A 21,890-nucleotide genomic window follows, 5' to 3' on the forward strand; every position below is an offset into this window, starting at 1 on the left:
GACCCCGCAGGCCTGGGGTGGGGACTCTGCCTGCCACCTGGGAAGGGTGGTCGTCAGTGGGGTGACTCAGGGTGGAGGGCCCTGGCCCAGTGGCCCTGCCCTCCTCCTCATATGCCCGTGACCAGCACGCGGGTGTGGACTGAGCCTGTGCCAGGTGGGCCCTGGGGGTCGGGGGGCAGAAGGGCCCAGGTCCTGCAGGGGAGTGGGGGGCGGTGCTGGGGCCCAGAAAGGCTTACTGTAATGTGGCTGGTGGGGGCCACCGGCTCTCAGGCCACACACTCCCCCTCCAGGCCCAGCGCCCCTCCCCGCCTCCCTGGGGCTGCGGTCTTCCCAAACCCCAAGCCGGCTGCTCTGCACCAGTGAGGGGCCGGGAGTGGCCTGGCCTGAGGAGGCTGCAGGGCACCCACCTCTCCAGAGACCCCCTCCACCCACTCCCGGGGGATCCTTCTGGAGAGACCGTTCCCAGCCGTTGAGCAGGGTCCGCTCTCCCCCCTACCCCGGTCTGGCCTTTGGGAGGATCCCCCCAGAGCCAGGGAGGGGTATCTGGCCCCTCACCCCTCAAACGGCAGTCCAGGGCCAGCGTCTTTCTGCGCTCACCCACCTGCCTGCGACGGGGCTCTCTGGGCCACAGGGCGGCCACCACTCGAGGGTCACCCGCAAGCCTCGGAGTCCCTGCTCGGAGCGGGGGCTGGTGGTCGCGGTGGGGGTGGGGAGCGGGCACCCACTGGGGATTCACCCCACCCGGGCCCCCCTCCAGCCTCTGCCCGGCGCCCGGGTCTTCGGTCCGCCCTTTGCAGAGGAAGGACCCCGCCCTGCGCAGAGCGGGCTTGGGGGACCCGGGCGGGCGGCGGGGCGCGGGGTGGGGCGCGGGGGGCGGTGTTGCTCCCGCGGGCGGGAAGGGCGGGGAGCGGCCCTGCCGGGAAGGGGGCGGTGCCGGAAGCGTCAGCTGGGCTTTCCCCGGCGGGCGGGGGCGGGGAGCAGATGGGGGCGCTACGAGGAGGTGGGGGGAGGGGACGCAATGGAGGTGCCGGGGGTGCGCTGAAGAGCGAGACTGGGGCAGGGGGATGAGGGTCTGGGAAGGAGCAGGTGTTGGGGACGGAGGGTGGGGGCGGGGAGTGGGGGCGCGGGGAGGAGCAGGGTGGGGGCGGAGGGGAGGATGGGGGTCCGGGAGGAGCAGGGGCGGGGACGGAGGGGAGGGTGGGGGTCCGGGAGGAGCAGGAGTGGAGGCGGAGGGGAGGGTGGGGATGTGGGAGGAGCAGGGGTGGGGCAAAGGGGAGGGTGGGGGGTTCAGGATGAGCAGGGGTTGGGGCGGAGGGGAGGGTGTGGGGGGTCCAGGAGGAGCAGGGGTAGGGGCGGAGGGGAGCCTGGGGGTCTGGGAGAAGGAGGGGTGCGGGGTGTGGGGCCTGGGGTGAGCAGGGGTGGGGGCGGAGGGGAGGGTGGGGGTCCGGGAGGAGCAGGGACGGAGGGGAGGGTGGGGGTCCGGGAGGAGCAGGGACGGAGGGGAGGGTGGAGGTCCGGGAGGAGCAGGGGTGGAGGGTGTGGGGCCTGGGCTGAGCATGGGAGGGGACCTGCAGCCCGTGCCCAGCCCCATAGGGACCCGCCCGCGCTCCTCCCCCGCCGCCCCGGCCCCGCGCTCCTCGTCGCTGGGAACCCCCTGCGGGAGCAATGACGATGAGCAGGACGATGGCTGTGAGGGCCCGGCCCGAGCTCTGGGGCGTGGGCCGGAGCGCGGTTGGCCTTGACCTTCTTGGAAAGCCCTTGGCGGCAGGTGACTCCGCTTAGTCACGGCCCCGGGGGCGGGGGCTCCCCGAAGGAAAGGAGCCCCCGCGGGAGCAGGCGCAGAATGAGATGCACGAGCGCCACCGCCGCCGCCGCACACCCCCCGCCCCCCCGGGGTGGAAGCCAGAACCTGCGTCCCCAGCTCCCCCAGGCCCGCCCACAGGGCGCCTGGCTGGGCCTCCGAGCTTTCCTGTTTTCTCTGCAGCCTGGCTGGGCTTAGGGAGAGGTGGGGGGTGCGCCTCTTGATGCTGGGGACGCGTGTGGCACAGGGAGCCGGGTGCAGCCAAGGCTTGGAGGGGTGCCCCCCGCCCCACCCAGGTCACACTTCACCCTTCGTGGGGTCGGGATCTGGTCTTTTTACAAGCTAGGCGCCCTCCCCCCTTTTTTTTTTTTTTTTTTTCTCAAAAATGATCACAGGGAATGAGCCTCAGCCAGGACAGCGGGCTATGAGGCTGCCTGTTGCCCCCACCAGCCTGAATTCTGGCAGGGCCCTTCTCCTCCACCCACAGCCCTCCATCCACACCCCTCCAGTGGCTCCAAGGCCCATCTGACTTGGCCTCAGTTCACCTGTTTACTTCAGGGACACCTGGTTATACTGCCAGAGGCAGGTTGGGGGGCCTGCAGGGCCGGCCTCTCTCAAATCCACTTCTGGCTCTGCGGTCCCCACAGCACTTCCTTACCCCTTCCCCATGCTGGAATCTGAGAACCAGATATGGGGGTCCTGGTCTCAGCATCCCTTTCCATCCGGGGTGCCCTGCTGCTGCCAGCTCACGTGCCCACCATCCCATCCTCCTCAGGGTCAGTGTGGCTGCAGAACGGCCTCCGGGGAGAGCAGGGTGGGGGCTGTAGCCTGGTGCACCCCCAGCCTGCTGTCCCAGGTGAATGCAGACCCCTGGCTCAGCTGCTGACCAGATAACAGTGGCCCTTGTGCCGAAGCCTGGGTGGGGGCTGGGGTACCAGCCCCGGGTGTCTCCGGGCACAGAATGGCACCCACCCCCACCCCACCCGCAGGCAGCGGCCAGCAGGAGACATTGTCCGTCCCCCTCAACCCTGGCTATTAATAGCTCCTCTGGGCTAGGAGCGGCTATAAATAGTCCCAGCCCCTCACACAGGCCCATTCAGGCACCCGCTGCCTGGGTGTGCACAGCAGCCACACTTGCGCTCACTCAGAGCTGTGCACGCGGGAACCGTGCCACTTCTGCCCCTCCACGCCATCTGCACTGCACAGATCCAGGCTGTCCCTGCAGCCCTCACTGGGTCTCCTGTGGCAGGGGAGGGCCCTGAACCCTCTGGAGGCTTTTCCCTTGCCCCCTCCCGCCACGCCCAGGGTCCCCTTGGGGCTTCTAGCTACTCTAGGGTCTTGCTCTGGGGCTTCTGGAAGTCAGATGCATTCACCCAAAGCCAGCCTGGGGCGGGGGGAGGTCCACCTGGAGGGAGGCCCAGCCCCTGCAGAGACCTAAGCCTGGCCTCTGCCCCAAGCACTGCTGCCTCGGGCCATGAGGCTCACAGGGTCTCCTTAGCCCAAGGCTGGTCCAGCCTCCCACCTGCCCTGTGGGGCAGACGTCACTGAATTCCCACTCCTTGCCCTGGAGGCCTCATTGCCGTCAACTAGGCTATGGCCCCCACTGTGACTCCCACTCCCAGGGTGACAGAATGGGCACCTGGTCCAGGAAAGCCTGCTCTGTGGACCCCCTACCCGTCCACACTGTCCACGCCCCATGGCTAGTGGTGACAGGAGACAGGATGGGGGGCATGGGGGCTGCTGTTATTGTGTCCAGAGGAGAAAAGGAAAACAATCCTGTTTACGGAAAAGGAATGTCCGTCCACTGCCGCCAGCCAGTGGCCTTCCTGGGGGGACAGAGGCCCTTTGTTGGGAAAACAGGAAGCGAGGATTTCCAGGATCTGCCAGGCCGCCCGCCGGCCACCCGCCCCACTTCCGCCAATTCTCGGCAGCCTGCGCTGGCCACCAGCTGCCCGTCGGTCCATCCACGTTTCTGTCTATCCGTCTGACCGTGGGGCCCAGGCGTACAGCCTTAGCACATCCTGCTCTATGTGGTGCCTCAGTCACACAGGGACAAACACCCACAGGGTCCTCGCAGGGCCTGGGAGGGCTGCCTGGGAGCTGAGACCCAAGGAGTGAGGACCCGTGCCCCACATAGGGAAGGGCAGTGCCAGACATGGAGAAGGCGGATGGGGCAGGGGCCACGGGCCAGGAACCGGGGAGGCGGGAACAGCCAAAGGGAAGCTGTGCCAGACTCTCCCCTCCCCACCCAAGAGCCAGGGATGGTTTTGGGGTTAGGGGTCACTGTGTCCTTACTACCCAAACCCACTTACAGTCCATGGCCCACGCGATGCTCGCCTGTCACTGACCCGGGACAGCATGGGCTCACTCGTGCATGAACACCAGACGTGTGTACACTCAGCGGACACTCACCTGTGCACACACAGCACACACGTGCACACACCACGGACACTCTGACCTGTGCACACACAGCACACACGTGCACACTCAGCGGACACTCACCTGTGCACACACAGCACACACGTGCACACACCAGCACCCCCCAGCACGGATGCAGGCACCGTCATGAGCACGGAGACCACCCCAGGACACCAGCAGCTGCACCCCCCGGCGGGGCTGCACTGGCCGACAGTGCCCAGGGGACTGCTCCCAGCCCCTGTGGGGGGCTTCTGTGATTCTGTGTGGGTTCCTGTGTGCCCTGTTTGGGCTCTCACCGGTCAGAGGGGGCTGGCACAGTGCCTGTGACCTCAGTCCTGGGCAGGGCCAGGAGGTGCCAGGAGCAGGCAGGCCTGGGGCAGGACTCTGTTTAGGGCCAGCTGGAGGACCCTCTGCCCCCACCTCCACATCCCAAGTCGGCAGCTTCCTCCCACTGTGGTGGTGATACAGGAGATAGAAAGAAATTATTTAGGTAGATAATGAGGGCAAAAGAGTCCTCAGCAGAACCTCCCTTCTAACAAAAAGCAGGCCCGGGCGAGGTGGCTCACAGCTGTAATCACAGCACTTTGGGAGGCCAAGGCGGGCGGATCACCTGAGGTCAGGAGTTCCAGACCAGCCTGGCCAACATGGTGAAACGTCTCTACTAAAAATACAAAAATTAGCCAGGCATAGTGGCGGGTGCCTGTAATCCCAGCTACTTGGGAGGCTGAGGCAGGAGAATCGCTTAAACCTGGGAGGCGGAGGTTGCCGTGAGCCGAGATCGCAGCACTGCACTCTCAGCCTGGGCAACAGAGAGAGACTCTGTCTCCACACAAAACAAAAAAAGCAGAAAGCAGCCCAAGAAATCACTTCTTTTTTAACAAAGAGCAGCCTGGAAGATTAGGCGGCAAACAGATCAGGCTGGAAGCTTCACAGGACATGGAGGCAGCTGCACAGACAGAAAGGGCTCCCTGGGGCCAGGAACGTCCACCCTGGGGCTCCATGTCCCTCTTAGTTAGCACACACGCACAGTAAGAAAAAAATGAGCGGCACGGAGTAGCTTCCCACGTGCATAATAAAAGACTGGGGTGCCAGCCGGTCACGGTGGCTCACGCCTGTAATTCCAGCACTTTGTGAGGCCGAGAAGGGTGGATTACCTGAGGTCAGAAGTTCAAGACCAGCCTGGCCAACATGATGAAACCCTGTCTCTACCAAAAATACAAAAATTAGCTGGGTGTGGGGGCGTGTGCCTGTCATCCCAGCTACTCAGGAAGCTGAGGCAGGAGAATCGCTTGAACCCGGGAGGCAGAGGTTGCGGTGAGCCGAGATCGTGTCATTGCACTCCAGCCTCGGCAACAAGAGTGAAACTGTCTCAAAAAAAAAAAAGATTGGGGTGCTACACTATGTAGATGGCACGCCCGGTCCCAACCAGTTTTTCGTGCCCTATGTAGATCAGACACTGCCTCCCCACTAGCTCATCTATAAAAATCTCTGCATTTCATCTCGGATGGGCAACCCATTTTTCTGGGACCCCTCCCTGTAGCAGAGAGCTGTTCTCTGTCTTTCTTTTTCTTTTTTTTTTTTTTTTTTGAGGCGGAATCTCACTCTGTCACCCAGGCTGGAGGGCAGTGGTGTGATCTCAGCTCACTGCAATCTCCATCTCCCAGGTTCAAGCGATTCTCCTGCCTCAGCCTACTGAGTAGCTGTGATTACAGGCATGCACCACCACGCCTGGCTAATTTTTGTATTTTTAGTAGAGATGGAGTTTCACCATATTGGTCAGGCTGGTCTCAAACTCCCAACCTCAGGTGATCAGCCTGCCTCAGCCTCTGAAAGTGCTGGGATTACAGGCATGAGCCATCGCGCCTGGCCTGGACAACCTGCATTTAAAAAGCACTTTCTTAGGAAGTATGTCAAATGTACATGGCTTGAGCCACCACACCCAGCCTATTCTCTTTCTTTCCTTTCTTTCTTTCTTTCTTTTTTTTTTTTTGAAACAGAGTTTTGCTCTTGTTGCCCAGGCTGGAGTGCAATGGCACAATCTTGGCTCACCGCAACCTCCACCTCCCGGGTTCAAGTGATTCTCCTGCCTCAGCTTCACGAGCAGCTGGGATTACAGGCATGCGCCACCACACCCAGTTAATTTTGTATTTTTAGTAGAGACGGGGTTTCTTCGTGTTGGTCAGGCTGGTCTCGAACTCCCAACCTTAGGTGATCTGCCCGCCTCAGCCTCCCAAAGTGCTGGGATTATAGGCTTGAGCCACCATGCCCAGCCTATTCTCTTTCTTTTGCTGATTAAATGTCTGCTTTAACCTCACCCTTCTTGTGTCCTCATCCTTGATCTCCGTGGCTGTGAGACCAAGAACCTTGGGTGTCACCCCAGAAAAAAGGCTGCTTCAGCAGTCCATCTTCTGACCCGGAAGACCCCTGCCCTGGTGTAGGTGAGGGAGGCCCACGTGGATCTACGATGCCAGGTGGGGAGGAGGACAGGTGTGAGGGGACAGCTGGAGCAAGACCCCTGGTCGGGCGTGCCTCAGTTCAAAGGCCCAGACAGTGCAAGCAGAAGAAGGAGAGGGTGCTGGGAGGAGCCGTGGCAGGGGCCAATCCAGGGCCTCTGGGCCCGGTGAGGGCTTGGGGTTCACTCCCATCAGGTGGGGCTGCACCAAGAGGCTGTGGCTGATGCTCAGAGGGTCTCTGCTGCTGAGCACAGGTGGGGACTGGGAGCAGCAGGCTGTGAAAGTCCCAGCCCGTTGGGAGGACAGGCAGTGGCCTGGCTGGATTCCAGGTCTGTTTTAATGTGGAGCTGATGGAACTTTCGGAGGCCGGGGTGAATGGTGAGATGTAGACAATTCCAAGAGCGGACACGGCTGGGGGGGCCAGGGCCTCAGTTCACACCCTGACCTGCCTTTGCGCAGAGCGGCTCCCAGGAAATCACACCCTTTCTGTGGCAGACACAAAGGTCAGGTGTGAGGGGGCAGGTGGACTGGGAGTTGGAGGAAGGGGAGGGCCCGGCCCTGTGAGCAGAGGGTGACCCTTCCCTGGCATCTGCTGCTGCCATGTGCCCCAGAACCACGAAGGTGTGTGGGTCCCACATCCACGTGCAGGCCTTGCATCCATGGCTAGGTCCCACGTCCAGTTCCAGGCCCGACATTCTGGTCCCTGGGTCCAGCCCATGGCCTTCCTCCATGGGCGTGCTGAGGGCCTGCAGCCCGTTCTCTGCCAGCCTGGCCCCTAACACAAGGCAGTGACCCCAGCCTCTCACCAAGGGGACCCATTAGCCACACTGCATCAGGCCTATGGCAGGTGCTCAGTGCAGTGTGGGCCATGATCCCAGCAGGCCCCACACCTCTCCAGATGCTTCCTGACCCCAAGGAGCCTGCATGCTGGCCAGGGTGGAAGCAGCTCTGAAGAGTCAGCACTCGCGGTGGCCAGGACCAGAGAGGAAGGCAGAGTGCCTGTGTCCCAGGAAAGAAGAGGGCATGGCGCCCAGCTGCGGGGCTGCTCTCAGGGCAGCAGCTGCTTTGGGGACACCTCAGCTGGAGTCTCAGGTCAGGGAACCCTTGTGTCCACACATCCACCTGTCCATTCACCCAGGGGTCCACCCATCCAGCCTTCTGCAGTGCTGACATCCATGGGCTCCCCAGGTTCATTTAATGGTGAATGAATGAATGAGCCCACTGTTTATCCAGGCGCCACTGTGGGCCATGGCACAAGTGGGCTCTCAGGAAAAACTACTTATCAAATGATGAATGAATGAATGTGTGAGAGACAGAGTGAGTGAGTGATTGAGTGAGTGAGTGATTGAGTGAACGAGTGATTGAGTGAACGAGTGATTGAGTGAATGAGTGAGTGAGTGAATGATTGAGTGAGTGAATGACTGAGTGAATGAGTGAGTGAGTGAATGAGTGAGTGAATGAGTGATTGAGTGAACAAGTGATTGAATGAGTGATTGAGTGAACGAGTGAGTGAGTGAATGAGTAATTGAGTGAACGAGTGAGTGAATGAGTGAACAAGTGAGTGAAAGAATGAGTGAGTGAATGAGTGATTGAGTGAATGAGTGAATGAGTGAGTGAATGAGTGATTGAGTGAACGAGTGAGTGAATGAGTGAGTGAATGAATAAATGAATGAGTGAGTGAGAGAATGAGTGATTGAGTGAATGAGTGAGTGATTGAGTGAACAGATGAGTGAATGAGTGAGTGAGGGAGGGAGTGAGGGAGGGAGGGGGTGAGTGAGTGGGGGAGAGAGTGAACTGGCCTCCCAGTCCCCCAGCTGCTCTCTGCTGACCCAAGATCTGGAGGTGCCCAGCTCCCGTCCTGCCCTCCCAGGTCAGTGGTGGCTGCATGTGGGAGGGAGGAGGGGTCCGAATGTTGTACTGTGACTTCTGAAGCCACAGGCAGCGCCGGAGTGTCTGGGGAGGACACAAAGCCAGGCTGTTCCCTGCGCAGGGGCTGGGCCTGCCTGGAGGTGAGCCGGGGCCAGGTAGGCTGGGGCCCGGGGGAAGGAGGGCTGGCCTTGCAGACAGGACACGCTGTGGTGGGCGCCGGAGCCTCCAGACCCGGGGTCGGCCTCGCCCATGCCCAGCGGCTGGTGTGGACCCCCAGCTGTCTCAGGTGGGGTGGGGTGGCCCCTGGGTGGCGGCGTTTCTGCAGCCCACCGAGCCACAGGCCGAGAGGGTCCCAGGGAGACTGGAATGCCAGCTCCTCATGGAATGGCCTTGGTGGCTCTGAGCGCTTTGCCTGAAAATCACTCTTTCCTAAAAATCACTCTAAGGAACTTGCTCCCCAAGCCTCCAAACCCAGAGCAGAGCCCCCGAAGCTGCTTGACAGGCGGGTGAGTGGGTGGGGCCGTGTGGTAAAGATCGTCTCATCTGAACAGCCCCCGCAGGAGGCCCTGGGTAGGCCTGGCCCCTGGTCGCTGAGGAGTGCCCAGCCCTCCAGGCCCCTGCAGGTCCCCCCAGCGCCCCACACCAGCCCTCCAGGGTGGGCCTGGCTATTGTCTCATTTCCAGCCAGGCCAGCTCTGGGTGCCATGCAGCCCATCGTGAGCTGAGAGCGGAACTCGGGGCCCTCGAGGCCCCCCCCACCCCGCCGCCCAGGCCTTTAGGGAAGAACCCACCCACCAGGCATGTCAGGAAGGTCGGGTTTTCTCCACGGATAAGGATCCCCACCTTCGGGGTCATCGGAGGTCACGCTACCCAGAAGGAAGAAGGTGAACGCAGGCCGTAGGGCTTCCTGGAGGAGGGGACCCCGGGGAGCAGCACCCAGCCAGCCAGACGCACGGGGGTGGCATGTGTGCATAGGCGTGTGAGTGCTGGCATGCATTTAGCGCCAGGGAGGGAGGCCCAGACTCACAGTCTTGCCAAGCTAGACACCTTTAGCCCTGGGCCCCCAAGAGGGGCAGCAACCCGGCGGGCAGGCTCCTGGCAGTCTGAGGAACAAGGCCCGGCTGGTAGGGATGGACATTTCCACTTCAAGACCCGCCAGAATCCCCCACCTGCGGGTCACCCAGGCCATGGCTGGCCACAAGCCGCCCTGCCGGAACTGCATGTTCTCAGTGTGGGCCCGAAAGGGATGGGGAGGCTCCTGCTCATCCTCAGCTGCACTCCCGCCCCCACTGCCCCTCTGGGAAGCCCCTGGCGTCTAACGTCCCATCAGCCAAAGACTTGCCAAGCACAGGCCCAGGCCTGGTCACCCCCAGCAGGGTCACCTCACTCTGGCCATGGAGGAGGTTGTGACACAGGATGGCCAGGCCTCAGCCCCACAGAGCTGCCTCCCTGAACCCTGTCCTGGCCTGGGAAGACTGGCTCTCACACTGCTGGGCCTGGGGACCAAGCCTGTGGGCAGAAGCGGCCCTCCAACGCTCAGGACAGGCCTGGGGTTGTCCAGGCCTCCCGGGTCCTGCCTCCTCCTGGACCTGGCCTTGGTCTGAGCACCTGTTCTCTCCATGCGGGTACCTGGGCCTCTGAAATCCCCGCTGGTGGAGGAGGTGTTGGGTGGCCCAGGATCACCAGCACACCAGGTGGCAGCCTCCACCCCAGACCTCAGGCTGCAGTGCCAGGCACCCAGAGCGCCAGGAGCCCACCGCAGTCACAGTGACAGCCGGGCCGTGCATCTTGGGGTGCGCTTGCGCCAGCCCAGAGCTCCTGACCGCATGATGTCCTGGGGGGTTGGGACCCGGAAAAAAGTCTCACTGCTCACCAGCCCCCCAGGAAACTCCGCCCCTTTACAGTGTCGCTGCTCACCAGTACCCCCAGGAAACTCTACGCCCCTTTACAGTGTCACTGCTCACCAGGTCCCCCAGGAAACTCTACGCCCCTTTACAGTGTCACTGCTCACCAGGTCCCCCAGGAAACTCTACGCCCCTTTACAGTGTCAACTGCTCACCAGGTCCCCCAGGAAACTCTACGCCCCTTTACAGTGTCACTGCTCACCAGGTCCCCCAGGAAACTCTACGCCCCTTTACAGTGTCACTGCTCACCAGGTCCCCCAGGAAACTCTACGACCCTTTACAGTGTCACTGATCACCAGGTCCCCCAGGAAACTCCGCCCCTTTACAGTGTCACTGCTCACCAGCCCCCCAGGAAACTCCGCCCCTTTACAGTGTCACTGCTCACCAGCCCCCCAGGAAACTCCGCCCCTTTACAGTGTCACTGCTCACCAGCCCCCCAGGAAACTCTGCCCCTTTACAGTGTCACTGCTCACCAGTCCCCCCAGGAAACTCTGCCCCTTTACAGTGTCACTGCTCACCAGGTCCCCCAGGAAACTCCGCCCCTTTACAGTGTCGCTGCTCACCAGCCCCCCCCAGGAAACTCCGCCCCTTTACAGTATTGCTGCTCACCAGCCCCCCAGGAAACTCCGCCCCTTTACAGTGTCGCTGCTCACCAGCCCCCCCAGGAAACTCCGCCCCTTTACAGTGTTGCTGCTCACCAGTCCCCCCCAGGAAACTCCGCCCCTTTACAGTGTCGCTGCTCACCAGCCCCCCAGGAAACTCCGCCCCTTTACAGTGTCACTGCTCACCAGCCCCCCAGGAAACTCCGCCCCTTTTGGGGCCAGAGATGCTGTGAGAAGTGGCCTTTTATTATATAAAACTGTTTTATGCAGAATTTAAGATGTACATGTGACCCCTGAGATTAAACCACAGCCCCAAACAGCTCCCTGATTTTAGCCTTGTAGGAGACCCTGGGGCAGAGGGAAACTGCTAAACCAGACTTGGATTCCAGACCCACCTGGAAGTCATAAATGTGTGTTGTTTTAAGCCACTATAATTTGGAGTCGTTTGTGACACAGCAGAGCAACAGATTACCATCATGGTGTTGAAGGTAGAGCCAGCTGGGCTTGCTGGCTGACTCCAGGGCATTGGAGGACGCCAGAGCATTGACCTGAGCCCCTGGCAGGTGTGGCTGGCAGCATTGGGACAAGGACAACGAAGGCTGCAAGTCAAGAACTCTGCGCTGGGGCCAGGCGGCGGCTCACACCTGCAATCCCAGCACTGTGGGAGGCTGAGCCTGATGGATCACCTGAGGTCAGGTTTGAGTTCAGCCTGCCCAACATGGTGAAACCCCGTCTCTACTAAAAATACAAAAATTAGCCAGGCATTGTGGTGCATTCCTGTAATCCCAGCTACTCAGGAGGCTGAGGCAGGAGAATCACTTGAACCCGGGAGGTGGAGGTTGCAGTGAGCTGAGATCACACCACTGCACTCCAGCCTGGGCAAAAGAGTGAGACTCCATCACAAAAAAAAAAAGACTTTGGATAAATATGTGTTGTCCAACAACTTTGGATAACAGAAAACACCACAACAAGTTGAGAAATGGATTACAGAAAAAAGAACGAGCTTCGTACGTTAGCACCTATAATATCATTTCATCCTGCATTTTGAACAATGAACCCTGAATTCTCATGTGCGCTGGGCTCTGCAAATCATGTGGCTGCTCCCCATAGTCAGGAAGGAGAGTGGGACTCAGGGGAGGAGGCAGGATGAGCTGAGACCCAGGCTGCCTGTCCCTACCACTGACCAGGACAGCGTTCCAGCCTCCCCGTCTGCTCAGAATCTGCCCTGACCTGCTCCACACCCCCGCAGGCCCGCAGGGGAGGGCAGAACTAGAAGGGACCAGCGCATAGGGACCTGGGGGTGCTGGCACTGAGGTCTCTGGGCCTGGGATGCTGACCTTCCCGGAGCCCTGAGCTGGGCCAGGACGAGGTCTTCCCATCAGACTTGCCGCTGGCTAGGTGACCGGCCTGTCTCACAGATGAAAATATATTCTGAGGCCCAAAGGGGGCCCAGACCCTGACTTTGTGGCCCAGAGCCAGGTTCTCCCCATAACCAGCAGGCTTCTTTACCCACAGGCCACTGTCCACCCAAGCCCCGCAGGCAGGAACCCTTGGTATTGGGTGGCCCTGAGCTTGGGATTTGCCGCTGGCTGTGTGGCCCTTCGGAGCCAGTCCGGCACACCCGCAGGCACACACACATGCGCACTCGCATACAGCCACAGATTACACAGGCACCAGCTTCCCGGGAATCCATTTGTCATGCAAATGCCCCTCCTGGGGCCCCTTGCCTCCCCAGAGCTGTGTCTGTCCAGGGTGGGGCCCAGGTCCGTGGAGTCCTGCAGTTTCCTGGCCACAGCTATTGGCAACTGAGGGATGTCTCTCCAAAGAGGACCCAGATCCACGTCCAGGCTTGCCTGGGACCCGATCCCTGCCCAGTGCGGGGGCTGCAGCCTCAAGGCCCAGTCTGGCCACCGCCAAGTCCACTGGGAGCCAAGTGTGGGTTCATTCCCTCGTGGCTTCTGGTGCACCAGTGGGGTGGGGGGCCAGGCCTCTTTCCCTCCTTGGCTGCCTCAAAGCAAGAGGGAGGGACTCTCAGCCCTGTGCCCACCGACAGGCCCAGTCTCCATTCCTCCTAAAGCCCCTCTATGGCCCCCCAGCCCTTGGAGCTGAGCTTGTGAGAGCCGTCCCCTACAGGGTGGGCTCGGGAGGCAGAGCTGTGAGCCTGCTCCCCGCCCACCCAGAGCCCAGCTGGGGCAGACCCAGGCATCCAGGCCGGCAGGGTGAGCCTGTGCCCAGGTTGGGCAGCCCCCTATGCTGGGGGTGGCCAGGCTCTGGGCCTAAGTGCTGCCGGGAGACAGGGTGGCTGGGCTCTGGGATGCTGGCTGAGGGACACAGGCTCCCTCCTGTCCTCCGGGGCCAGTGGACCCTGGGGCAGCCCCCATGCCTGCTGTCCTGTCCCCACACAGCCTGTGAAGCAGGCTCCAGGCACACATGGGGGCCACGGGGGCAGGTGGTCCAGACGGCTCTCAAGGCAAAGCTGGGAACACTGTCCCATCCCTCTGGAACCCGCCCTGGTGAGGGGTGCAGGGGCCCTCAGTGGCCACCTTATAGGACCGGGCACCGGGCACTTCATGAGGCTGTCTGCTCGGCCACAGCAGCCCTGCTGATGGAAGCCAGCCCTGGGCCCACTGCAGCTGAGCCACCCAGGGGCCTGGCCACCCAGAGCTTCCCTGATAGGCTGCGCTGTGCCCGGAGCCCCCCAGTGACTGTCTCCTGCCCAGCCAGGTCCCAGACCCAGGGCAGCCTGCAGGACCCCAGGCCTCCACTCCCGCCACCTGAGTGTCTGTTCTGCATCTGCCCCGCCCCTGCCTACTGGCAGCCGCAGCCCTGGGCGGGCCTCAGCCGTCGGCTTTCTCAGGGTGTCTGGGTTGGGGCGGGCAGAGCTGCCCTCTGGGGGTTCCCGTGGTCCCCTAGAGGGTGGGCTCAGCGGCATCAGCTGCCAGAGAGGCTGACCGGCCCTCATGGCTCTTGACGGTATGTGCAAGAGTTTGCCTGGCGTGGTGGGGGGTGTTGCTGGCCAGGAACTTTCTTGCCATCGTCTTTCTTGGTGTCTGTCTCCCCTGGGTTCTCTGGACCCTGTCAAGCCTGTATGCTGAGGGTATGCTGTTACCAGGTGGCAAGGTGTCTCAGGCACTCCTTCAGGGTGAGCAGTCAGCTCCTGCTGCTGCCAGGGCAGAGGTGCAGAGAGCGGGGAGCAGCTGGTGGTGCCGGAACCCACAGCAAACCCCCCGCCCTCCAGCCCTGCCCCTGACACACCCCCGATGGCCTGGCGGAGCATCCCACCAGCCCAGCAAGAGGGCTCCTCTCCTCACCTGCCCAGGTCCCCTGGGGGAGGGGCCGTCCCTGTCCCCGCTGTCCCCCAGCCCTGGCCAGGGCTGTCCTCAGGGTGGGGAAGGCAGGCCCCCGCCACCCTCTCAGGGCCTCAGGCCTGGGGCAGGCCAGAGGGCTGGGTGAGGAGCCCTAGCAGGGCCCACCTGCAACTCCCACTGGCGCCCCAGAGAGACTCCGCACCTAGGAAGGGCCTCGGCAGGGACCAGAGCCAAGCCCTGCCCGCTTGGCCTCTGCCCCAACCCAGATGTACTGAGAAAGCCCAGGGCTGAGGCCCGTCTAGGGCTGCACCCGCCTGTGGACAAGGGCGGGGCAGATGCAGGACAGGCACTCAGGTGGTGGGAGTGGAGGCCTGGAGTCCTGCAGGCTGTCCTGGGCCTGGGGCGTGGCTGGGCAGGAGAGGAGTCGCCAGCAGGGCCGGGCAGAGTAAGCCGCTCTCCCTGACGGGGCTCCTTGGGTGGACTTGGTGGGGTTGCCAAGGGGGTGGCCAGGGCACGAGTGCCACACCCAGGCTGCAGCAGGGACAGCTCCACATGGAGGCCCATGGGCACTGGAACCCCTGGGCGCGTGCCCTGGCCTCGCAGCCACCCTCCCGGCTGGCCCCCACACCACGGCCGCGTCCCAGGACACGGTGTGCAGCTGGGAACAGGGCGTGTATTTGCTTAGGGCGCCCAGGAGCTGCGGCCTGTAGGACAAGGGCCCATTGTGTGCCCAGCTGCCCCACCCCCGGGCCTCTCCACGCCCCTCGAACCCCGTCCACACGGCCCCCCACACATGACACCCTCCGCCAACCCTGCTACCCAGCCCTCTTGGCCTGTGCCCCCACCCTGCTCCTCCACCATCGCCCCTGCCTGCGTCCCCGCAGCCAGTCCTCCATGTTTCCTCACTTCCCACCCTGACACCCCTCCACCCACCAGGACCCAGGTTCTCCGAGCAGAGGATCAGATTTCCGGCATTGCTGCCCGGGCTCCACGCATCCGGGCCTCGCTCACGGGTCTCTCTATACACGGGTCTCCACTATACAGAAGGCCGATCAGTGGCCCCTGCCCCTGGAGCAGAGCCCCTCAACCGGCAGGGACACAGGCTTCCCACTGGAGGGGCCCTGGGGAGAAGTCCTTGGCTGGAGAGGGGGGTGGGCCGTCAGAAACTCCCCAGGCGGGTCCAGCATGCTGGGGGGCAGCACAGGCCCAGGGCTGGGACCCTCTGCAGTGTGGGTCTCGCAGTGTCCCCCCGCTGGCCAGAGGTGAGGCCTCAGGTGTGGCGGGCACAGGCCATGAGAGCCGCACCTGCCCGAGGGCCCTGGCTGTTGGACTTTCCACTCTAGAGGGGCTCAGGGGAGGCTCTGACACCAAGGGAGCTGGACCTCCTGCACCGTCCTGGGGACCCAGGCCCTCAGGTCCGCCAGACAAGCCCGGCACAGCCACTGCAGGGCCTCATGTCAGGCACACCCCTCCCGCCCTGCAGTAGCACAGGGGGATTGGGGTCACCATCAACCACGGGGAAGCACAGAGGGGTGGGGGGATGTGGGGGACAGGGGGGTATAGCGGGGGGAGGCGGGCATGGGGCCTGGGCCAGGCTGTGTTATGGGGGAGCCGGTGCAGGGGGTGGGGCCTGGGCCAGGCTGTGTTGTTGGGGGTAGTAGGGGTGGGGCCTGGGCCGGGCTGTGTTTGGGGCTGTGGTGCCTGGGCAGGGCTGTGTTATAGGGGGGTGGGGGGGTGGGGGGCCTGAGTGGGGCTGTGTTTGTTGGCGCAGGGGGGTGTGGGGCCTGGGCTGGGCTGTGTTGTCAAGGGTACACTGGCTGATGAGGGAATTCTCTACCCAGCTAAGCAAGTAACTAGAAGGACCGGGCCCAGCCGCCTGCTGGAGCTGCCGGGGGTCCAGGGGCAGCCGCCCTGCCAGGCCTACTCTACGGCAACACGGAGCGTTTGCAGCAGCTTCTCCCAGGCCCTGTGGGCCGAGGGCTCAGGAGTCCAGGGCAGCGCAGGACGGGCACAGCTGGGGGCCCCTCATAGCCAGAAGGGCCCCTGGTGAGGCCAGGCAGAGGGCGGCTGCCTTTCCACAGTCCATTCGCCCACTCAGCCACATTTGGGGGTCTCTGCCCACCGGGCTCCACCCTCCTCCCACTCCCCACCCCAGCTATGACATCTTCTCGTGCCAGCCTCACAGGGGCCTTAGACTGGACGGCAGCGTTTGGCTCGCAAATGAGGAACCGAGGCTGGAGGTTACCGGGACAGGGGCGGGGAGGCTGGTGGGGGCTGAGGAAGGGTGTTGGGAGGCTAAGGTGGTGCAGAGGAAGGGGGTGGAAAGGCTAGTGGGGGACTGAGGATGGGGGCGTGGAGTCTGGGAGGCTGAGGCCAGGGGCGGAGATCTGGAGGGCTGAGGATGGGGGAAGGGAGCTGGGAGGCTGGCTGACTGAGGACGGGGGCGGGGAGGCTGGGGGGCTGAGGACAGCTTCCCGGCAGGCCTGGCTGCGTGGGCCCCTCCTCAGGCCCAGGGCCGGCCAGGTAAAACCAGCCTGACCGGGTGCTGCGTGTGAGCCTGCGTCTGTCTGCCTACTTGTCATGTGTGCTGTGGACCGCGGCCAGGAGGAGCTGCGTGCGTCACAGCAGTGCCCTGTGGCAGGAGGTTGGGCGGGGGCCACCTGCGCGAGGCCCACCTGCCCAGCCAGGGCGGGGAGCAGGTACCAGCAGCCAAGATTTCAGGGCTGGGCCCCAGGGGAGGGCAGGGCCAAGGCCCAGGCAGAGCCCCTCCACCTGTCTTCACAGGCCAGGATGCAGAGACGGGTATCTGGGCATCGAGTGGAGACCGAGAGAGGCAGGGAGGTCACCAGGCCCCATCAGGAGGCCAAATTTGGCCTGGGGCCTGGCCCTGAGTGGGCTAAGACTCAACTCCATACCTCCCACCCCTGGCTGTGCCCACCCACCTCAGCCCAAGGGTAGCTGACCAGTGCCCTCCAGAGCCCTGAAACCCTGGGGCAGGGCCAGTTGGAAGGGCCACCAACTCCCGCACACCTGTGGCTGGTTTCTGCCCAGATCTCACTGGAGGGATCCACGCCCAGGCAGGCTGCTGAGTCGCCTCTGCTGGGAGCTCAGGACCCAGGTGGGATTTCAGGACCGCAGGCCCTCCACTGAGGCCCGTGTGCCCCCACTCAGCCCAGCCCACCTCCCTCCCACCCACATCCTTCCAAGACTCAGCTCCTCCCAGTGCCCTAGGCCTGGCCAGTGGTAATGCTGAGGTGTGACCACAAGGCCCATTTCACAGCTAGGAAGGTGGGCTCAGGGTGGAGGCCCCACCGGGCCACAGACTCCATCGAGGTGCCTCTGATCTTGGGGCTAAGTCAGTGACCAGGAAAGAGAGGCCGCCCGACTGAGGTGTAAGGAGTGCCTGGGCCCCAGCAACTGTAGCCCTCACTCCTGCCACCGGCAGCCCGGCCTCAGCAGAGCTGACACAGAAGAGTGGGTTGCAGGCTGAGCTGGTCCTCCGGGGCCCAAACCAGGCCTGGCACCCACGACCCTGAAGAGTGGGACCCCAACCACCCCGACACCTAGTCGGGGCAGGGCAGCAGGGACGGGAGGGAGCTCTGGGCCACCGAAGGGGCCAGGGCGCTGGATGGGGAATTTCCTGGAGGTGGAGGAGCCCAGCAAGGGTAAAAGTGCAGAATTCTTTCCATTCTTTGCATTTCTCTGAGATGATTCTGCAGAGTGTGTTGCCTGGAAGACCCGTGGTGTCTGTGTGTGTGTGTGTGTGTGCACGCGTGTGGTGCGTGTGCATGTGTGAACATGTGTGTGGTGTGTGTGCACGTGTGTGGTGTGTACTTGTGTGTGGTTGTGTGTGTGTGTGCACGCAGCCTGCCCCTGGTGCCTCATCCCCCCCTTCCCCCTGGGAGCGGCCCCGCTGTGCTGGCAGTTCGGCCCCCACAGGTCTGCACTGGTGAACCCTCATGGTCCCTCAGGGAGCCCGGGAGAGGTGAGGAGGACCTGGATAGGGCCCAGGCCCAGATGCCTGCAGGGGAGAAAGCTCCACACAAGGGGTTTGTGAGGCCTTGCCCCAGCCCCAACGAGATTCAGGTGCCCAGCTGTGGGATATGGGGACAGGCAGGTGACGGCCCGGCTCTCAGGCTCCCCATCTGGACGATGGATGGACACGCGTAAGCAAGACCCTGAGGCCCTGTCCCTCAGCTTCCCCAGGCAGGGCCGAAGTGCCCTCCTCCTGAGGGCTGGGAGGCCACAGCGCCCAGTGGGAGGAGGGGGCTGGGCACAGTGGGGCTGGCTCCAGAGCAGAGGGAAGGAGCCGCGGGAGCTACACCCCCTGGCGAGGGGTGGTGTGAAGGTGCCTTTGGAGGCACCTGCCTGGCACGTATGGCTGGCTGCATGCACACACCCCCACGCTCACCTGGGACAGGTGTGCACACAAGCACTTGCTCCCTGAGCCCCGACCTAGACTGACCCTCTGCCGGGACTGCCCGGATGCCCTCCAGGCCAGACTGAGTCCTTCTCAGCTCCTCGGCCCTGGGTCACCTACAGCACTGCCATCGGCTTGGGGTGCAGCCAAGAGCGGACAGGGTGTTCAGGGATGAGCTGGGCAGGCGCTGGGGCCTCCCCATGTCAGAGGCCGCTTGGCTTCTGGGTACCTGCCCTCCTCTTCCCCTTCCTCTCCCCCACCCCCAAATGTCACTTCCCAGGAATAGGGAAGTGGACCTGAGGCCGGAAAACAACTTGGCCACTTCTTCCGAACATCACACTCCACCCAGGCTACTTCACGGCCCCACGTCTCGGGGGCTGGGGGGGACCCTGGACAGAGGTGGGGACAGGGCAGGGCCCCTGCCTGCCAGGCCTCAGCAGGTCCCTCTGGACTCTCCCAGCCTAGACCCAGGGGCAGCCCTGGGATCCGCCTCCTTCAGCCACTCTGGCACTCCTGTTCCCCCAACATGGTCAAGCAGGAAGGGCCTGGGAGGGCACAGCTCATGGGGGTTCCAGGAAGCAGCAGCGGGGCCGGGAAGGGCTGGCAGGCCGGGTCGCCACTCAGGGTGGCCAGACCCCCCTACCCACCGCAGGCCCTGGATGTTGACACAGACACACCCACAGGTGCCCCTTCCTGGGTTCGAGAGCCCCGTCCTCTGCTCCTGCTGCATCCTGGGGTCAAAATGCCCCCGGGGCCTCTTGGTAGCCACCCAGGCTGGCCCTGGGGACACTCCTAGGAACAGACCCAGGTCCTTCCGGAAAAGGCCGCAGGAGGAGAGTGTGGAAGGTCCCCGCAGAGCCACACAGGCACAGCCTGGAGGACATCACTTCCTGGGGCTCATCCAGCTGACTCGTCCCCAGCCCTGGTCCAGTGTCATGTCCAGGCGGTGGCTGCCAGGATCCAGCCCCTAAACACAGCCTGGGGGCCACTTCCAGCCGCCTGGAAAGGAAGAGACAGGCTTGGACTGGTGCCGTCCTTGCTCTTTCTCCGTGAGCAGAACTTTGGGCCACATAGGTCCTTTCTCGGAACCAATGACTGCCCCCACCAAACCCAGGTGTGGGGGACTCTCTCCCCTCCCCCAGGCCCATTTCTGGGCCATCTGAAGAGGACATCCCAAGGGCCTGGAGTGCCCACTTGCCAGCTCCAAGCTGTGTGGATTCTGCTCGGGTCTGGCAAGGAGGGGCCAGACAGAGCCCGGCCTGACGCTGTCACCTGTCCTGCCCTGAGCTGTCTGTGGGCAGAGCTCAAGCTCTGGCAGCAACACTCCAGTCTGAGTGCCCAGCTGGGCCAGCTGCCATTCACAGGCCTGACCTTCCCCCAAGTCCCCATGGCTGGGAAGGCGGCTGCCCCCTCTGACAGGAGTGGGGATCCAGGAGCCCCGGAGGTGCGTGCATCTCTGGGGTGGTGACGGCGTTCTGAGCCCATGCTCTGCAGGAATGTTTGCTGTGATCAGGCCCCCTGGGGGGTCTGAGCCCCTGGGACTCCATCTGCAGGTCCGGCTCCTCATGGCTGGACACTGGCTGGAGCAGTCCTTGGACCATCCTTGGAAGCTTCAGAAACTCTTCCAGGAAAGCGTTACTCCTGCTGCAGGCCCTGGGCTTCCGGCTTCTCAAAGCCCCCCTGGGTGGCTCCAAACTGTACAAGCCTGACTGGGGACCCCCGGCCTGGCTCTGGGTGGGAGAGAGCACCCCACTCTCACCTCTGCACATTCTGTGATCCCCCAACGCCCTCCTGACCTCCTCCGGGGAGCCCCTGGGTGAGACCCACGGGGGAGCTGGGCTCGGCGCGTGTGTGAGCCTGCAGCAGCCACACAGACACCCTGGAGGAGGGCCAGATCTGGCTTCTGGCTCCTGGGGAACCCCCACCACCACCTCTCCTGAGTCTCCTCCTCATCAGAATGCTGGGGACCAGAGCCAAATGGCTGGGGCCTATCCTGTCTGGGCACCAGGCAGAGGCCACCCAACTCCCTGAGTCCTCCAAGGTCTCCAGCCTGGGCCCAGAAGCTAAGCCCTCGCAGTGGGGTCAGATGTGAGCTGTTGAGGGCAACTCTGCCTCCCCAGCCCCGCGTGGACCAGGCCAGGACAGGAAGAATGAGGTGGGGCCCCCATGACCAGCTGCGGCTCTTGGCCTGCAGGATTTCAGCAGGGAGAAGGCAGAACTGCCATGTGGCACGCTGAGCACTGCCCAGCCGCCTCATCCCAGGAGCCCTCCTCCCGGGGTCTGTGCCCAAAACCACAGGCTCTTCTACCGGGCGCCCACTGGGTGCTGTGGGACGTGCTGCTTGGTACAATGTCGTCAGATTCTCCGCACAGCCTCCACAGAAATCGCAGTGCCTCTCCAGAGACTGAGCCTGATAGAGTCTGGGGATGTGTCTGTGACTCTGGGCTGGGTCAGCGGAAGAGCAGGGACCCAGGCCGAGGTGCCAGGACGGCCCCAAAGGGCCACCAGGGAAGGCACTGCAGGGCCAAAGGCCAAGAGCTATGAAGTGGGCAGGGCTGTGGTCCAGGCCCAAGGCCAGGGTGGCCTGTCCCTGGTCAACAGGTCAGAGGTCCCAGGTGAGGGGGCCCTGCACGCCTGCCCTGGCCCCCGGCCCAGGCCTGGGACACACAGGCCACGCAGCTCCGGCTCAGGCTGAGTCGTGGTCTGGGTGGTGGCAAGGCCACAGCTCTCCAGGTTGGCAGATCCAGTGAGGCTGCTGCGCTGAAGCCACAGTTCCCACCATCACTGCAGCCCCCGGGCGACCAACAGAGGCAGCCCCCCTCCAGCTGGGTCTCAGCGTCTGCTCCACTGAGGACAGGGTTCAGGACGGGACACTCCCACAGCATCTTCTATGTTTGTGCAGGACTCTTTCTGCAGAGTCCAAGTGACGGATGCCAGGCGGCCATGCTCACTGGGGCCCAGGCCCCGGGTGGCTTATGGAATATAAATGGTCTGTGCTGGTAGCAGGTGGGGGTAACCTGGTGGGAACAGCTGCCTCTCTAACACAGGCCAGGCCTCAGCTGAGGGGTAAAACTGGTGTCCTCCAGGCAGGGACAGAGGCTGGAAGAGGCAGCCAA

The 21,890-nt window shown here is 63.2% G+C and overlaps 14 annotated features.

The window, feature by feature from the left end:
• Positions 191–410: a silencer, noted in NCBI's record as "silent region_13931". NCBI's record gives its function as "represses an Ori minimal core promoter by ATAC-STARR-seq in GM12878 lymphoblastoid cells {active_cell/tissue: GM12878}" and the evidence as "EXISTENCE:reporter gene assay evidence [ECO:0000049][PMID:35858748]".
• Positions 521–910: a silencer, noted in NCBI's record as "silent region_13932". NCBI's record gives its function as "represses an Ori minimal core promoter by ATAC-STARR-seq in GM12878 lymphoblastoid cells {active_cell/tissue: GM12878}" and the evidence as "EXISTENCE:reporter gene assay evidence [ECO:0000049][PMID:35858748]".
• Positions 1,399–1,693: a silencer, noted in NCBI's record as "tiled region #8073; HepG2 Repressive non-DNase unmatched - State 9:DNaseU, and K562 Repressive non-DNase unmatched - State 18:Pol2". NCBI's record gives its function as "represses a minimal TATA promoter and a strong SV40 promoter by Sharpr-MPRA in HepG2 and K562 cells {active_cell/tissue: HepG2 | K562}" and the evidence as "EXISTENCE:reporter gene assay evidence [ECO:0000049][PMID:27701403]".
• Positions 1,399–2,260: a biological region, named in NCBI's record as "Sharpr-MPRA regulatory region 8073".
• Positions 1,421–2,260: an enhancer, noted in NCBI's record as "H3K27ac-H3K4me1 hESC enhancer chr22:50329551-50330390 (GRCh37/hg19 assembly coordinates)". NCBI's record gives its function as "activates a minimal SCP1, AML or CMV promoter by ChIP-STARR-seq in naive H9 embryonic stem cells {active_cell/tissue: H9 hESC(naive)}" and the evidence as "EXISTENCE:reporter gene assay evidence [ECO:0000049][PMID:30033119]".
• Positions 1,470–2,009: a silencer, noted in NCBI's record as "silent region_13933". NCBI's record gives its function as "represses an Ori minimal core promoter by ATAC-STARR-seq in GM12878 lymphoblastoid cells {active_cell/tissue: GM12878}" and the evidence as "EXISTENCE:reporter gene assay evidence [ECO:0000049][PMID:35858748]".
• Positions 8,223–8,949: an enhancer, noted in NCBI's record as "H3K27ac-H3K4me1 hESC enhancer chr22:50336353-50337079 (GRCh37/hg19 assembly coordinates)". NCBI's record gives its function as "activates a minimal SCP1, AML or CMV promoter by ChIP-STARR-seq in primed H9 embryonic stem cells {active_cell/tissue: H9 hESC(primed)}" and the evidence as "EXISTENCE:reporter gene assay evidence [ECO:0000049][PMID:30033119]".
• Positions 8,950–9,675: an enhancer, noted in NCBI's record as "H3K27ac-H3K4me1 hESC enhancer chr22:50337080-50337805 (GRCh37/hg19 assembly coordinates)". NCBI's record gives its function as "activates a minimal SCP1, AML or CMV promoter by ChIP-STARR-seq in primed H9 embryonic stem cells {active_cell/tissue: H9 hESC(primed)}" and the evidence as "EXISTENCE:reporter gene assay evidence [ECO:0000049][PMID:30033119]".
• Positions 8,950–9,803: a biological region, named in NCBI's record as "H3K27ac-H3K4me1 hESC enhancer GRCh37_chr22:50337080-50337805".
• Positions 9,624–9,803: a silencer, noted in NCBI's record as "silent region_13934". NCBI's record gives its function as "represses an Ori minimal core promoter by ATAC-STARR-seq in GM12878 lymphoblastoid cells {active_cell/tissue: GM12878}" and the evidence as "EXISTENCE:reporter gene assay evidence [ECO:0000049][PMID:35858748]".
• Positions 12,339–12,926: an enhancer, noted in NCBI's record as "H3K27ac-H3K4me1 hESC enhancer chr22:50340469-50341056 (GRCh37/hg19 assembly coordinates)". NCBI's record gives its function as "activates a minimal SCP1, AML or CMV promoter by ChIP-STARR-seq in primed H9 embryonic stem cells {active_cell/tissue: H9 hESC(primed)}" and the evidence as "EXISTENCE:reporter gene assay evidence [ECO:0000049][PMID:30033119]".
• Positions 15,859–16,446: an enhancer, noted in NCBI's record as "H3K27ac-H3K4me1 hESC enhancer chr22:50343989-50344576 (GRCh37/hg19 assembly coordinates)". NCBI's record gives its function as "activates a minimal SCP1, AML or CMV promoter by ChIP-STARR-seq in primed H9 embryonic stem cells {active_cell/tissue: H9 hESC(primed)}" and the evidence as "EXISTENCE:reporter gene assay evidence [ECO:0000049][PMID:30033119]".
• Positions 16,447–17,032: an enhancer, noted in NCBI's record as "H3K27ac-H3K4me1 hESC enhancer chr22:50344577-50345162 (GRCh37/hg19 assembly coordinates)". NCBI's record gives its function as "activates a minimal SCP1, AML or CMV promoter by ChIP-STARR-seq in primed H9 embryonic stem cells {active_cell/tissue: H9 hESC(primed)}" and the evidence as "EXISTENCE:reporter gene assay evidence [ECO:0000049][PMID:30033119]".
• Positions 18,793–19,378: an enhancer, noted in NCBI's record as "H3K27ac-H3K4me1 hESC enhancer chr22:50346923-50347508 (GRCh37/hg19 assembly coordinates)". NCBI's record gives its function as "activates a minimal SCP1, AML or CMV promoter by ChIP-STARR-seq in primed H9 embryonic stem cells {active_cell/tissue: H9 hESC(primed)}" and the evidence as "EXISTENCE:reporter gene assay evidence [ECO:0000049][PMID:30033119]".

Source organism: Homo sapiens, chromosome 22, assembly GCF_000001405.40.
Source record: "Homo sapiens chromosome 22, GRCh38.p14 Primary Assembly".
NCBI lineage: Eukaryota > Metazoa > Chordata > Mammalia > Primates > Hominidae > Homo > Homo sapiens.